General features: G+C 49.0%; 1 protein-coding gene across 7 annotated transcripts in view; it reads left to right on the plus strand.

The window, feature by feature from the left end:
• Positions 1 to 14,622, plus strand: part of RSPH9 (radial spoke head component 9) — a 27,565-nt gene continuing 12,943 nt past the window's right edge. For 2 of the 7 annotated variants that reach the window (NM_001424119.1, NM_152732.5), the window contains exons 1-4: positions 1 to 290; positions 5,340 to 5,505; positions 10,527 to 10,656; positions 11,542 to 11,688. In NM_001424119.1, coding sequence (NP_001411048.1) covers positions 64 to 290; positions 5,340 to 5,505; positions 10,527 to 10,656; positions 11,542 to 11,688 — 670 coding nt within the window. In that variant the 5' untranslated portion in view covers positions 1 to 63. Of the gene's footprint in view, positions 291 to 5,339; positions 5,506 to 10,526; positions 10,657 to 11,541; positions 12,825 to 14,622 lie in introns of those variants that run through there. The other 5 variants (NM_001193341.2, NM_001424120.1, NR_187614.1 and 2 more) reach the window with 4 other exon arrangements.

Consider the following 14,622-nt stretch of genomic DNA (forward strand, 5'->3'; position numbering starts at 1 on the left):
AGGTCTCCATGGAGGCGGCTTCTCCTAGCAACTCGACGGGCGTTGAGCGGAGCCGCTGACCTGATGGACGCCGACAGCCTCCTGCTGTCTCTGGAGCTGGCGTCCGGCAGTGGGCAGGGCCTCAGCCCGGACCGTCGGGCCTCGCTGCTCACGTCTCTTATGCTGGTTAAGCGCGACTACCGCTATGATCGGGTTCTCTTCTGGGGCCGCATCCTTGGCCTCGTCGCCGATTACTACATCGCGCAGGGCCTGAGTGAGGACCAGCTCGCACCGCGCAAGACGCTCTATAGGTGAGGAGGCCCCCGGGACGGGCTCCCCAGAGGGTGGCTACCTGGAGGCAGGGCGGGGTGGGCGGGTCGCAGCAATTGAAAGGGGCGGGGCCCATGGGGCCAAGGGAGGTGTGGGCGGGATCTGAGATGAGTGGAATGGGGGAGACCCTGGGGGGCGGGCCTGGGGACGGTCAAGAGGTGGTTGAGGGAAAGGGCGGGGATGGGGATGTCTCGGAATCTGAGGCTAGGGCGGAGCCTGAGAGGGCGGGGCAATGGACGGGCGATGTCCCCCGGAGGGCGGGGCCTTGCGAGAGCTTGTTCTCCGCCTGAGGAGGCCAAGAGAAACTTACATGCGGATGGGTTTATAAGAGAGACAGGGCCAAGAACGCAGGTGAAGCAGTGGGAAGGTTTCTGGAAAATGCGGACCTGGAGAAGAAGCCAGGTTCCAGCCAAGTGCTGGGCCTGGCTCAGTTTGGAGAAGGCTCAGTTTGGAGAAGAGTCAGACGCCAGAGGGAGAGGGTGGTGCTCTTTGATAGAGGTATCTGCTCTGGAGCTGGAGGCGCTTTTGGAAATAGAGAACGAATGCGGAATGGGGAGAGAGCTGGGGAAAATTCCCTGGTCACTACCATACAGGACCATCCAGCTATTTATTTATTTATTTTTGTTTTGAGGCAGAGTCTTGCTCTGTCACCCAGGCTGGAGTGCAGTGTCGCTATCTTGGTTCACTGCAACCTCCGCCTCCCGGATTCAAGCGATTTTCCTGCCTCAGCCTCCCAAATAGCTGGGATTACAGGCACGTGCCACCACACCTGGCTATTTATTTATTATTATTATTATTATTATTTTAGACGGAGTCTCGCTCTGTCGCCCAGGCTGGAGTGCAGTGGCTCGATCTCGGCTCACTGCAAGCTCCGCCTCCTGGGTTCACGCCATTCTCCTCCCTCAGCCTCCCGAGTGGCTGGGACTACAGGCGCCCGCCACCATGCCCGGTTAATTTTTTTTTGTATTTTTAGTAGAGACGGGGTTTCACCGTGTTAGCTAGGATGGTCTCGATCTCCTGACCTCGTGATCCGTCCGCCTCAGCCTCCCAAAGTGCTGGGATCACCCACCGCGCTTGGCAATTATTTATTTATTTATTATTTTTGTAATTTTAATAGAGACAGGGTTTCACTATGCTGGTTAGGCTGGTCTCGAACTCCTGGCCTCAAGTAATCCACCCGCCTCGGCCTCCCAAAGTGCTGGGATTACAGGCGTGAGCCACCATGCCCGGCCAGCCTCTTTTTGACTAAAGGGGAGCTTACTACCTTACAAAGCAGTCCATTCGGCCAGCCTGGGCAATATAGCAAGACCTCATCACTACAAAAAAAAAAAAAAAAGGCAGGGTGTGGTGGCTCACGCCTTTAATCCCAGCACTTTGGGAGGCAGAGTTGGGCGGATCACGAGGTCAGGAGATTGAGACCATCCTGGCTAACGCGGTGAAACACTACTGAAAATACGAAAAATTAGACGGGCGTGGTGGCGGGCGCCTGTAGTCCTAGCTACTCGGGAGGCTGAGGCAGAAGAATCACTTGAATCTGGGAGGCGGAGGTTGCAGTGAGCTGGCATCATGCCACGCACTCCAGCCTGGGTGACAGAGTGAGACTCCGTCTCAAAAAAAAAAAAAGAAAAAAAAAAAGGAAAATTTGCAGGGCATGGTGGTGCATACCTGTAGTCCCAGCTACTCGGTAGGCTGAGGTGGGAGGATTGCGCCCGAGAGTTCAAAGCTGCAGTTAACTATGGATCACTACTGCGCTCCAGCCTGGTGACAGAGCGAGACCCTGTCTCAAAACAAATAAATAAATAAATAAACAAACTTTAAAAATAAATAGGCCAGCAACGGCCTATTTATTTAGGGAACAGTTAGACAAACTTGTTGGCTGGGGAAGTCTCAGAGTGTTTGGGAGAACAGTAGTATGATGTTGTGTAGAACTGGTTCTAGAGGCAAAAGGATATGGGTCTTTGTTCATAGGCCATGAGGAGCTACTGAGGGGCTTGCAAGAAGAGCCTGCTCCGATCAGAGTGGGCAAAATGGCCTGAAAGTGTGGTGAGCACTGTGGTTAGGAGTCCATTGTAGTGTCCATATGAATGAGGCCTGAAAGGAAGAGGTATCCGAGGGAATGCAGAGGAGGTGATGGGTTGGAAAGATTTAAGTGCTAGAATTGTCAGGACATGTAACTCATTGAATAAGGATGGTTATAAAGGAGAGGTTAAGGCTGACCCCTCCTAGCTTAGGCAGCTGAGTAAGTTAAGTACCAGCACCACTCAGTAGGAGAGAATTCAGGGGCAGGACTAGGGAAGACATAGTGAATTTGATGTGAGGTGCCTGAGTTACAAGGTGTTAAGAAGGTATATTAAAGTACAGATGTAGAATACAGAAGAAAAAGTTGAACTGAAGATAGAGATTTGGGATTCATTTCATTTTATTCTATAAGCATCTGCTGAGCACCTACTATGTGCTACCATGTGCTAGGCATTGATTTAGGCACCAGGAGTTCAGTGGTAAATGAAATCCTTGTCTTTATGGAGCTTACATTGTAGTGTGTGTTCAGGGGGCAGGGAACGGAAGATAGACAACAGCTGAACACACACATCTATTAGATGTCAGATGATGTTAAAAGCTAAAGGGGATAGAGAATACAGGATGGGCCGGGCGCAGTGGCTCATGCCTGTAATCCCAGCACTTTGGGAGGCAGAGGCAGGTAGATCACCTGAGGTCAGGAGTTCGAGACCAGCCTGACCAACATGGCCTGACCCCATCTCCACTAAAAATACAAAATTAGCCAGGTGTGGTGTTGCAAGCCTGTGATCCCAGCTACTTGGGAGGCTGAGGCAGGAGAATCGCCTGAACCCAGGAGGTGGAGTTTGCGGTGAGCTGAGATCGCACCATTGCACTCCAGCCTGGGCAACAAGAGCGAAACTCTGTCTCAAAAAAAAAAAAAAGAATACAAGATGGGGTACTATTTTAAATAGTTTGGTCAGGGATAGCCTCTTTGATAAGGTCACATTTGAGAAGACACCTGAAGTGACTGAGAGAGTGAGCTATGTAAATATCTGAGGGAAGAGAATTCTAGGCAAGTGCAAATGCCCTGAGGCAAGTGTGTGCTTAGTGTGTTTGTGGAACCGCATGGAGACTAGTGTGGCTAGAGAAGAATAAGTGAGGGGAGTGTTGTAGGATACAAGGTCAGAGAGGTGAGGAGTAGGAAACAATCATGCAGGGCCTTGTGGGGCATTGTAAGACTTGGCTTAATTGGAAGCCATTGGAAGGTTCTGCAGAGGAGTGACATGACAGCTTAGGTGTGAACAGTTGGGTGGGGACTAGTCCAAAGGGGGAATAGATGTGGAGTCAGGGAGACTAGTTAGGAGTCGATGGCAATATCTAGACAGTAGGGGATGGTGGCTTGGGCCAAGGTGGGAGCTGTGGAAGTGGTTGGATTCTGGATACAGACTAGGCAGTAGCTGGGGCTCTGGAAGGCAGGTGGGAAAGATTGCAAAAAGAAAAGAGGGGTGAGAATGGGTCCCTGGAAATACTTAAGGCCCTGGAGGAGCGGGAAGGGAGATGTCAGAGGAAATAGAACTGGAGATGCATTTCTTGGCCGTTAGGTGTCAAGGATGGCCTTCTCCCAAGCAGTTTCTTGAAGTGGTGGGGCAGAAATCATGGCACAGTGGGCTGAAGAGTGAAAAGGAAGGGGAGGAAAGTCCCCCACAGGGCAATTGTTGTTCTGAGATTATTGTTGAAAGTTGGGAAAGAGGGAGGGAAGGACAGGAACAGCATTTTCTAGAAGGACATGGATTTGGAGGGTTGCTGTTTTAGTAGGCTGAGCAGTTTTTTTTTGTTTTGTTTTTGTTTTTGTTTTGTTTTTTTTGAGATGGAGTTTCGCTCTTGTTGCCCAGGCTGGATTCCAATGGTGTGATCTCGGCTCACTGCAACCTCTGCCTCCTGGGTTTGAGTGATTCTCCTGCCTTAGCCTCCTGATTAGCTGGGATTACAGGCGCCCGCCACCAAGCCCAGCTAATTTTTTTGTATTTTTAGTAGAGACAGGGTTTCACCATGTTGGCCAGGCTGGTCTCGTGTGATCTGCCCACCTCGGCCTCCAAAGTACTGGGAGTACAAGTGTGAGCCACCGCGCCTGGTCAGCTGAGCCATTTTTATGTTAAGGGGGAACTGGTGGAGAGTGAAGGGCAGGAGGATAAGCAGAGACCAGGCTGGGGACCTAGGCCCAGGGTATATTTGAGAGGAGTGGGAAGGACCTCCTCTCCCAGCAGAAGGAAGTGAGAAAGAAGGAACCAGGTGGGCCTGGTGAGTGCTCCCGAAGGCCTCAGAGGAGAAGTTCTTGAACATAGGCTGGGCATTCCTGAGAAATGGGAGGAAATGGTTGTGCTGTTGACTCAGTGGGCAGGCTGAGCATGAATTTAGGGCCCACCAAAACATGGATCCACACAATTGAGGAAAGTTCAGCTACCAGAAACTCATCCAGAATTTCACAGTCCGGATATCTAGGAAGAGGCTCATTTAATTTCAGCATACATGGAATGAATGAAATTGAATCTGTTTATTACATATGAGGAGTGGGTTCACCATTGGCACTTGGGACTTCTTTTAGACAGAGTCTTGCTCTGTCACCCAGGCTGGTGCAGTCGTGGCTCACTGCAACCTCTGCCTCCCTGGTTCAAGCGATTCTCCTGCCTTAGCCTCCTGAGTAGCTGGGACTACAGGCATGTGCCACCATGCCCCGCTAATTTTTGTATTTTTAGTAGAGACGGGGTTTCACCATGTTGGCCAGGCTGGTCTGAAAGTCCTAACCTCAAGTGATCCGCTCACCTCAGCCTCCCAAAGTGCTGGGATTACAGGTGTGAGTCACCGTGCCCAGTCAGCACTTGGGGCTTCTAACAGTCTCACGACAGCATTGGGAGGAAAGGTGGCCATTTCAACAGCTTTTCCTGGGCCCAACCCACTAGACAGAAGGGAAGATAATAGGAATAGTGGGTGAGAAGGGAGTTGGAATCCAGGGGTGATGTGAATATTGTTGGCAGCCTGAACTGCACAGAGTGGAGCCTCTTGCCCCCTGCCACAGAGGAGATGGTGGCGCAGTCGTCTGTGGTGAAGGGCCGCTTCATGGGGGACCCATCATACGAATATGAACACACTGAGCTGCAGAAGGTGAATGAAGGTGAAAAAGTCTTTGAAGAAGAAATAGTGGTGAGTGAAGAGGAGAGCAGGAGGAGGGCCTAAAAGAGAGCCTGGGCTCATCCAAAACCCAGCCTAATAGAAATTATGGCAACAGGCTGGGCACGGTGGCTCACGCCTGTAATCTCAGCACTTTGAGAGGCTGAGGCGGGTGGATCATGAGGTCAGGAGATTGAGACCATCCTGGCTAACACAGTGAAACCCCGTCTCTACTACAAATACAAAAAATTAGCTGGGTGTGGTGGCAGGCACCTGTAGTCCCAGCTACTCGGGAGGCTGAGGCAGGAGAATGGCATGAACCCAGGAGGTGAGCTTGCAGTGAGCTGAGATCGCGCCACTGCACTCCAGCCTGGGCAACAGAGTGAGACCCTGTCTATAAAAAAAAAAAAAAGAAAAGAAAAAAAAGAAATTATGGCAACAAGTACGATCATTATTTCCTTTTTTTTTTTGGGACAGGAATATCACTATGTTACCCAGGCTGGTCTCAAACTCCTGGGCTCAAATAATCCTTCCGCCTCAGCCTCCCAAGTAGCTAGGAGTGCAGGCATGAGCCAGCATCCCTGATGACTAATGTTATTATTATCTTTGTGACACGTTGGTTATTGGGTACCTGGGTGTGCTAGGCAATGTGCTACTGTGCCTGTATCATCTCATTTCATCCTTAAAACCCTATGGAGTTGGTTTCCAGGTGGTAGAGAAGAGGACATTCTCCTACCAGTTCAGAGAGGTTAAGTGATGTGCCCAAGGCCACACACAGCTACCTCCTAAGCAACTGGATAAAGGCAGTGGGTAGGCTCTGGGGTGGGGACTGGGAAGAGGGGGTGCTCTGTGCTGTACTCTGGGGTCAGGGAATGTGCACAGGCTCTTATATTTTAGTATCAGTTTTCATTTCACAAAATAATAAATCCGCATGTACAAAATTCAAAGGTACAAAAAGGAATATAGTAAAGTTTCCTCCCATCTCTGTCCACCAGTCACACAGGTCCTCTATTTAGGGGACATTAACTCTCTCTCTCTTTCTTTCTTTTTCTTTTTTTTGAGACGGAGTCTTGCTTTGTTGCTCAGGCTGAAGTGCAGTGGCGCCATCTCAGCTCACTGCAACCTCCGCCTCCTGGGTTCAAGCAATTCTCCTGCCTCAGCCTCCCGAGTAGCTGGGATTACAGGTGCCTGATGCCACACCCAGCTAATTTTTGTATTTTTAATAGTGACGGGGTTTTACCATGTTGGCCAGGCTGGTCTCGAACTCCTGACCTCAGGTGATCCGACCGCCTCAGTCTCCCAAAGTATTGGGATTACAGGCGTGAGCCACCGCACACAGTCTGACGTTAACTATTTTGCATGTGCATGTGTGTGTACATATGTGTACTTGTGTGTCTAAATTTTTCTGCTCCAAGTAGAGTCTGGATCAGAAGCTTCACCATGTCCTAAGAGTTAGAAATGTAGGATCTTGGGCCCCAGCATCAGGTATCTGCCTTCTAAAAAATCCCCTGGGCATTGGCCAGGCACGGTGGCTCATGCCTGTAATCCCAGCACTTTGGGAGGCTGAGGCGGGTGGATCACGACGTCAGGAGATTGAGACCATCCTGGCTAACACGGTGAAACCCTGTATCTACTAAAAATACAAAAAATTAGCCGGGTGTGGTGGTGGGCACCTGTAGTCCCAGCTACTCGGGAGGCTGAGGCAGGAGAATGGCATGAACCCGGGAGGCAGAGCTTGCAGTGAGCTGAGATCGGGCCACTGCACTCCAGCCTGGGCGACAGAGTGAGACTCTGTCTCAAAAAAAAAAAAGAAAAAAAAATGGCAGCATGTTATACACATGATTCTGAACCTTGCTTTTTTTCACCTAATGATATATTTTGGAGATCTTTCTATATCAGTGTCTTAAAGAGCCTTCCCATTCTTTTTTTTTTTTTTGAGATGGAGTCTCGCTGTCACACCCAGGCTGGAGTACAGTAGTATGATCTTGGTTCACTGCAACCTCTGCCTCCCGGGTTCAAGTGATTCTCCTGCCTCAGTCTCCCAAGTAGCTGGGATTACAGGCACCTGGCACCACGCCTGGCTAATTTTTATATTTTTAGTAGAGACGGGGTTTCACCATATTGGCCAGGCTGGTCTCCAACTCCTGACCTCGGGTGATCCGCCCGCCTCGGCCTCCCAAAGTGCTGGGATTACAGGCGTGAGCCACCATGCCCAACTTCCGGTTTTTTTTTTTTTTTTTCACCATTGTGGGAATGTACCATAATTTTCCCAGTGTCTTATTTATGAAAATGTAGGTTTCGAAGTTTTATTTTATTTTTATTTGTTTTTGAGACAGAGTCTTGCTCTGTCACCCAGGTTGGGGTGCAGTGGCACGATCTTGGCTCACTGCAGCCTCCATTCCCTGGGCTCAAGTGATCCTCCAGCCTCAGCCTCTCAAGTAGCTGGGACTACAGGTGCATACCACCATACCTGGCTAATTTTTGTATTTTTTTGTAGAGATGGGGTCTTGCTATGTTGCCCAGGCTGGTCTTAACTCCTAGTTTCAAGCAATCCTCCCACCTCAGCCTCCCAAAGTGCTGGGATTTATAGGCATGAGCCATTTCATCCAGCTGATTTCCAAGTTTTAGTTCTAACAAACAGTACCATAATAAATGACCATATAGCTGGGCATGGTGGCTCACGCCTGTAATCCCAGAACTTTGGGAGCCCAAGGCGGGCAGATCACGAGGTCAGGAGTTTGAGACCAGCATGGCCAACATAGTGAAACTCCGTCTCTACTAAAAATACAAAAAATTAGCCAGGCACAGTGGCGCCTGTAATCCCAGCTACTCGGGAGGCTGAGGCAGGAGAATGGCTTGAATCCGGGAGGCGGAGGTTGCAGTGAGCCAAGATCGCGTCATTGCACTCCAGCCTGGGTGACAGAGCAAGACTCCGTCTCAAAAAAAAAAAAAAAAAAAGACCATATAGACATCACTTCCATTGTGTGTAATTCCTGGGAAAGTCAATTCCTGGAAATAGACTTGCTAAGTTAACAAGTAAGGAGCCTATGTTTTGAAACAATACAATCCCAGAATTCAAAGCACAGCTGTTGCACTTGAACCTGGGTGATGCCGAAAGTCTGAGTCTAGGTCTGTGAGCCCTCAGCTGCATCCTCACCCACTCCTACCTGATTGACTTAATCTTCCTGAGCCTGTTTTTTTTGAGACGGAGTTTTGCTTTTGTTGCCCAGGCCAGAGTGCAATGGCGTGGTCTCGGCTCACTGCAACCTCCGCCTCCCGGATTCAAGTGATTCTCCTGCCTCAACCTCCTGAGTAACTGGGATTACAGGCATGCGCCACCACACCCTGCTAATTTTGTATTTTTGGTAGAGACAGGGTTTCTCCATGTTGGTCAGGTTGGTCTCAAACTCCCGACCTCAGGTGATCTGCCCACCTCAGCCTCCCAAAGTGCTAGGATTACAGGCGTGAGCCACCGGGCCCAGCCGTGAGCCTCAGTTTTATTATTATTTTTCTGTAAAATTGAGATAATTGTATTTACTTTGCAGGCTTGTGTGGATTAAATGAGGTGACATATTTAAAGACACTGGCCTCAGCACTTATTAAAGCTTAGTTTCTACCTTTCTTTTGTAAACCATTCAGGTAGGCTGCCCATGGCAAATAGGTGGCTCCGTGACTCTCTAGGGGCCTCTGTTGACACGCATTCTCTGTCGAGCTCTTCCACAAAATCTCTATGAAATCCTTTTGTTCAGAGTTGCCCTAGATAGTAATTGTAACTAAATTTCATCTGTGTAAAAAGGGTATGATATGGGGAAATGCTTGCAAAATAATGTTAAACTGAAGAGAAGGATATGAAACAATATAAACTGTGACTCTAATTTTGCTTTAAATATATGCATAGAGGGCTGGGTGCTGTGGCTCACCCTGTAATCCTAGCACTTTGAAGGCTGAGGCAGGGAGACTGCTTGAGCCCGGGAGTTGGAGATCAGCCTGGGCAACATGGAGAAACCCCATCTCTACCAAAAATACAAAAATTGACTGGGCGCAGTGGCTCACGCCTATAATCCCAGCAGTCTGGGAGGCCAAGGTGGGTGGATCACCTGAGGTCAGGAGTTCAAGACCAGCCTGGCCAACATGGTGAAACTCTGTCTCTACTAAAAATACAAAAATTAGCTGGGTGCAGTGATGCACGCCTGTAGTCCCAGCTACTCAGGAGGCTGAGGCAGGAGAATCTCTTGAACCTAGGAGGTAGGGATTGCAGTGAGCTGAGATCCCTGCACTGTACTCCAGCCTGGGCGACAGAGCAGGACTCTGTCTCAGAAATAAATAAATAAAAATAATAATAAAAAAAGACAAAAATTAGCTAGATGTGGTGACATGTGCTTGTACTTCCAGCTACTCAGGAGGCTGAGGTGGGAGGATCATCTGAGCCTGGGAAGTTGAGGCTGCAGTGAGCCATGATTGTGCCACTGCCCTCCAGCCTGGATGATAGAGTGAGACCCTGTCTCAAAACAAAAACAAAATGACAGCAACAATAACAACAAAACATGAAGAAAGTATACCAATATGTTATCAGTGATTATCTTTAGGAGGTAGGATTATGAGTGGTTTTAGTTATCTTTGGTATGTCTTTCTATATTATCCAAATATTCTACAGTGAGCATGATTACTTTTATATTTTAAAAAGGCAAAATAAGCAACAGTTAAATATGCTGATAGGATGGTATGCCTCTGGAAGAGTACATGAGAAACCTTCAATGGTGGCTGCCCCCAGTGAGGGCAACTAGGGTCTCGGACTGGGGTGAGAGAAAGACTGATTTTTTCCTGTAGTTTTGAATATCATACCACCCTTATGTATTACGAATTAAAAAACAAATAAAAAGAAAGGAAGAAAATCTTGATAGGAAGGAAGGCGAGGGCCTGCCCAGCGTGATCTGTGTGGCTCTGGGGTCCACTACACTGCAGTGGTGCGGGTGAGATGGCCGTGCAGAGGGACCTTGCGCCGGGGTGCCTGGGCACAGTGCCCTGGCAGGGGGGCTCCTCTCCTGTCTCCTCAGGTCCAGATCAAGGAAGAGACCCGCTTGGTGTCTGTCATTGACCAGATTGACAAGGCTGTGGCCATCATCCCCCGAGGCGCCCTCTTCAAGACCCCTTTTGGACCCACCCATGTCAATCGGACCTTTGAAGGTGAGTTCTCTGGGGCCCCTCTCAAGGGCTGGGGGTATCTTTTCCCAAGCACAGTAGAACATATGTCTGGGAGTCCAGCAGGGGGGCTTACACACTTTATCAGAGAAGGAGTAGCTGTGACCTTATCACCTGGGAGGGTGTGCCCAGTGACCTGGCACCAGTGGTCGGTATGGGCTCCCCATCTCCTGGCCCCTGACTCTCTTCAGTTTGAGGAGTGGGAGAGCATATAGTCCCTTGGTCCCAGGGCTTTACATGGGTCTGGGCTACCTGCCTTTTCCTATCTCCTTCCTCCTTGGACTTCCTTCCTTCCTTCCTTCCTTCCTTCCTTCCTTCCTTCCTTCCTTCCCCTTCTTTCCCTTCTTTCCCTTCTTTCCCTCCTTCCCTCCCTCCCTCCCTCCCTTTGTTTCTTTCTTGATGGTGTTTTGCTCTTGTCATCCAGGCTGGAGTGCAGTGGCACAATCTTGGCTCACTGCAACCCCTGCCTCCTGGGTTCAAGCGATTCTCCTGCCTCAGCCTCCCGAGTAGCTGGGATTACAGACACCCTCTACCACGCTCGGCTAATTTTTGTATTTTTAGTAGAGACGGGGTTTTGCCATGTTGGCCAGGCTTGTCTCAAACTCCCGACCTCAGGTGATCTGCCTGCCTCGGCTTCCCAAAGTGCTGGGATTACAGGCATGAACCATCGTGCCTGGCTGGACTCTCTTTGTGGCAGGATCTGGTCCGAGTTTGGACTGAGGGAATGCTAATCCCTTTCCTTCCTTTAGCTCTCTGACAGTGGTTGACAGGGTCTTTTGTAAGCCCTACCATGTGGTCCCAGTGCAGACAGAAAGGGGGCTGGGGGGTTTTGGGCTAACCATCATTTTCCTGCCTGCCACCTCTTTCTAGGACTGTCCTTGTCTGAGGCCAAGAAGCTCAGCTCCTACTTCCATTTCAGGGAGCCTGTTGAGCTAAAGAATAAGACCTTGCTTGAGAAGGCTGACCTGGACCCCTCCCTGGATTTCATGGACTCCTTGGAGCATGACATTCCCAAAGGTAATAGTCCATTACCTGGAGGCCATGGGATCTGTCCTCAGGCCATAGCAGTGGGCCATGCCACCTGCCATTTTCCTCTGAGACTGGAACCAAGGGCCTAGTGGGAATTGGTGGTTCACCATGGGTTTTTGAGGGTGGAGCTTCCCCAGGGCCCAGCTTATAGTACACACTGATGAGTGTCCTTGAATTACAAAAGGTAGGATTGTTTTCCATATGCTTTCACAGAGAGGAGGTATCTCAATGTCTCTTGATTTTTGTAGCAATCTTGAATGGGGGCAGGTTGGGAATCTTCTCCCAAATATCCTTGAAAATACTAGCCATACTTACATCTCAACTGTTACTTTTGGGATTCTGGTATTTAGGGACTGGATATAATGCTTGGCCCATAGCTGGTGGTGCTGATCCCATTTCCTTCCCTTGAGCATCTCTGGTAGAGAAGAGCATGTCCTTGGATTCTATGACCCAATTCAGGTTCTAGGCTCTAGGCCATCGGGGGCCAGGCCCAAGGCACAGACTCAGCGCCCCACTTCTTTCTCTTCCCTTGTTGGGTGTTCCTGAGAATGAGAGGGATCTAATGATGATGATGGCAATGATAATGACAACAATAACAACTAACTCATGAAATGTGACACTGCTTATCATGTGTCAGGCACCGTACTCAGCTCTTGCCATGCCTTATCTCATTTTAATCTTCACAGCCAGCCTATTATTTTTATCCCCATTTTACAGATGAAGAAACAGGGGCTCAGAGAGTTAAACCCAAGGACACAGTAAGTGTTAAAGTGTTAGACTCCACAGTTCTGGCATGAACTGGATTGTTAAGTAAACAATAGTTTAAATGACAATAGGAACCACAGGACAATAGTCACCCACACCTCTAGGGGGAAACACTTCTGAAGAGCAGCAAGCGACCCAACTGGGGGGTATCTCAGGATGGGGATGGGGATGACAAGGGCTGTGGAATCAGACAGGCTGGGTTGGAATCCTGAATTGGCCACTTACTAGCTGTGTGACTTCATGCAAATCCCTCCATTTCCCTGTGCCTCAGTTTCCTCATTTCTAAAAAGGGGAGAATTGATATTTTCTACCTCAACGAGTTATGAGAATTAAATGGACTACTCCTATACCACCCTGAATGTGCCTAGTCTCTTCTGATCTTGGAAACTAAGCAGGGTCAGGCCTGGTGAGTATTTGGATGCAAGAATTAAATGAGTTAACTCATGCACAAAATGCTTATAACAGTGCCTAACACATAGTAAGGACTCAAATGAAAATGAACACACCAGCCGGGTGCGGTGGCTCACGCCTGTGATCCCAGCACTTTGGGAGGCCAAGGTGGGCAGATCACTGGAGGTCAGGAGTTCGAGACCAGTCTGGCCAACATGGCAAAACCCCGTCTCTACTAAAAATAGAAAAATTAGCTGGGTATGGTAGCACACGCTTGTAAACCCAGCTACTCAGGAGGCTGAGGTAGGGAGAATTGCTTGAATCTGGGAGGCAGAGGTTGCAGTGAGCTGAGATTGCGCCACTGCACTCCAGCCTGGGGCAACAGCGCAAAACTCCGTCTCAAAAAAAAAAAAAAAAAAAGAAAAAAAAAAAAAGAAACGAACATATCTCAGAGATATTGCAAATTTGGCTCCTGACCACCATAATAAAGTGAACATCGCAATAAAGTGAGTCACACATTTTTTGAAAAGTTGTGTTTGTACTATACTATAGTTTGTTAAGTATGCAATAGCATTGTGTCTAAAAATGTTAAAAAAATTAAAAATTCTTTATTTCGTAACAATACTAACGATCACCTGACCCTTCAGCGAATCATAATCTTTTTGCTGGTGGAGGGTCTTTGCTCTGTCGCCTGGGCTGGAGTGCAGTGGCGCAATCTCGGCTCACTGCAAGCTCCACCTCCCGGATTCATGCCATTTTTCCTGCCTCAGCCTCCCAAGTAGCTGGGACTACAGGCGCCCGCCACCATGCCTGGCTAATCTTTGTTTTTGTATTTTTAGTAGACGGGGTTTCACCTTGTTAGCCAGGATGGTCTCAATCTCCTGACCTTATGATCCGCCTACCTCGACCTTCCAAAGTGCTGGGATTACAGGTGTGAGCCACCATGCCCAGACATGCCCAGCTAATTTTTGTATTTTTAGTAGAGATGGGGTTTCACCACATTGGCCAGGATGGTCTCGATTTCTTGACCTCGTGATCTGCCCGCTTCAGCCTCCCAAAGTGCTGGGATTACAGGTCTGAGCCACCAAACCTGGCTTACGTAATATTCTTAATCCTTTGTTGTTCTCATTTCAACAATGTTCACAGCATCTTCACTAGGAGTGGCTTCCGTCTTAAGAAACCACTTTCTTTGCTCATCTGTAAGAAGCAACCCCTCATCCATTCAAGTTTTATCATGAGGTTGCAGCAATTCAGTCACATCTTCAGGCTACACTTCTGAATTCTAGTTCTTTTTCTTCTTCCACCACATCCGCAGTTACTTCCTCCACTGAAGTCTTTTTTTTTTTTTGGAGATGGAGTCTCGCTCTTGTAACCCAGCCTGGAGTGCAATGGTGTGATCTCGGCTCACTGCAACCTCCACCTTCTGGGTTCAAGCAATTATCCTGCCTCAGCTTACTGAATAGCTGGGATTACAAGCACCGGCCACCATGCCCGGCTTTTTTTTTTTTTTGAGACGGAGTCTCGCTCTGTCGCCCAGGCTGGAGTGCAGTGGTGCGATCTCGGCTCACTGCAAGCTCCGCCTCCCGGGTTCACGCCATTCTCCTGCCTCAGCCTCCTGAGTATCTGGGACTACAGGCGCCCGCCGCCACGGCTGGCTAATTTTTTGTATTTTTAATAGAGTTGGGGTTTCACTGTGTTAGCCAGGGTGGTCTCAATCGCCTGACCTCGTGATCCGCCTGCCTCAGCCTCCCAAAGTGCTGGGATTAC

Source organism: Homo sapiens, chromosome 6, assembly GCF_000001405.40.
Source record: "Homo sapiens chromosome 6, GRCh38.p14 Primary Assembly".
NCBI lineage: Eukaryota > Metazoa > Chordata > Mammalia > Primates > Hominidae > Homo > Homo sapiens.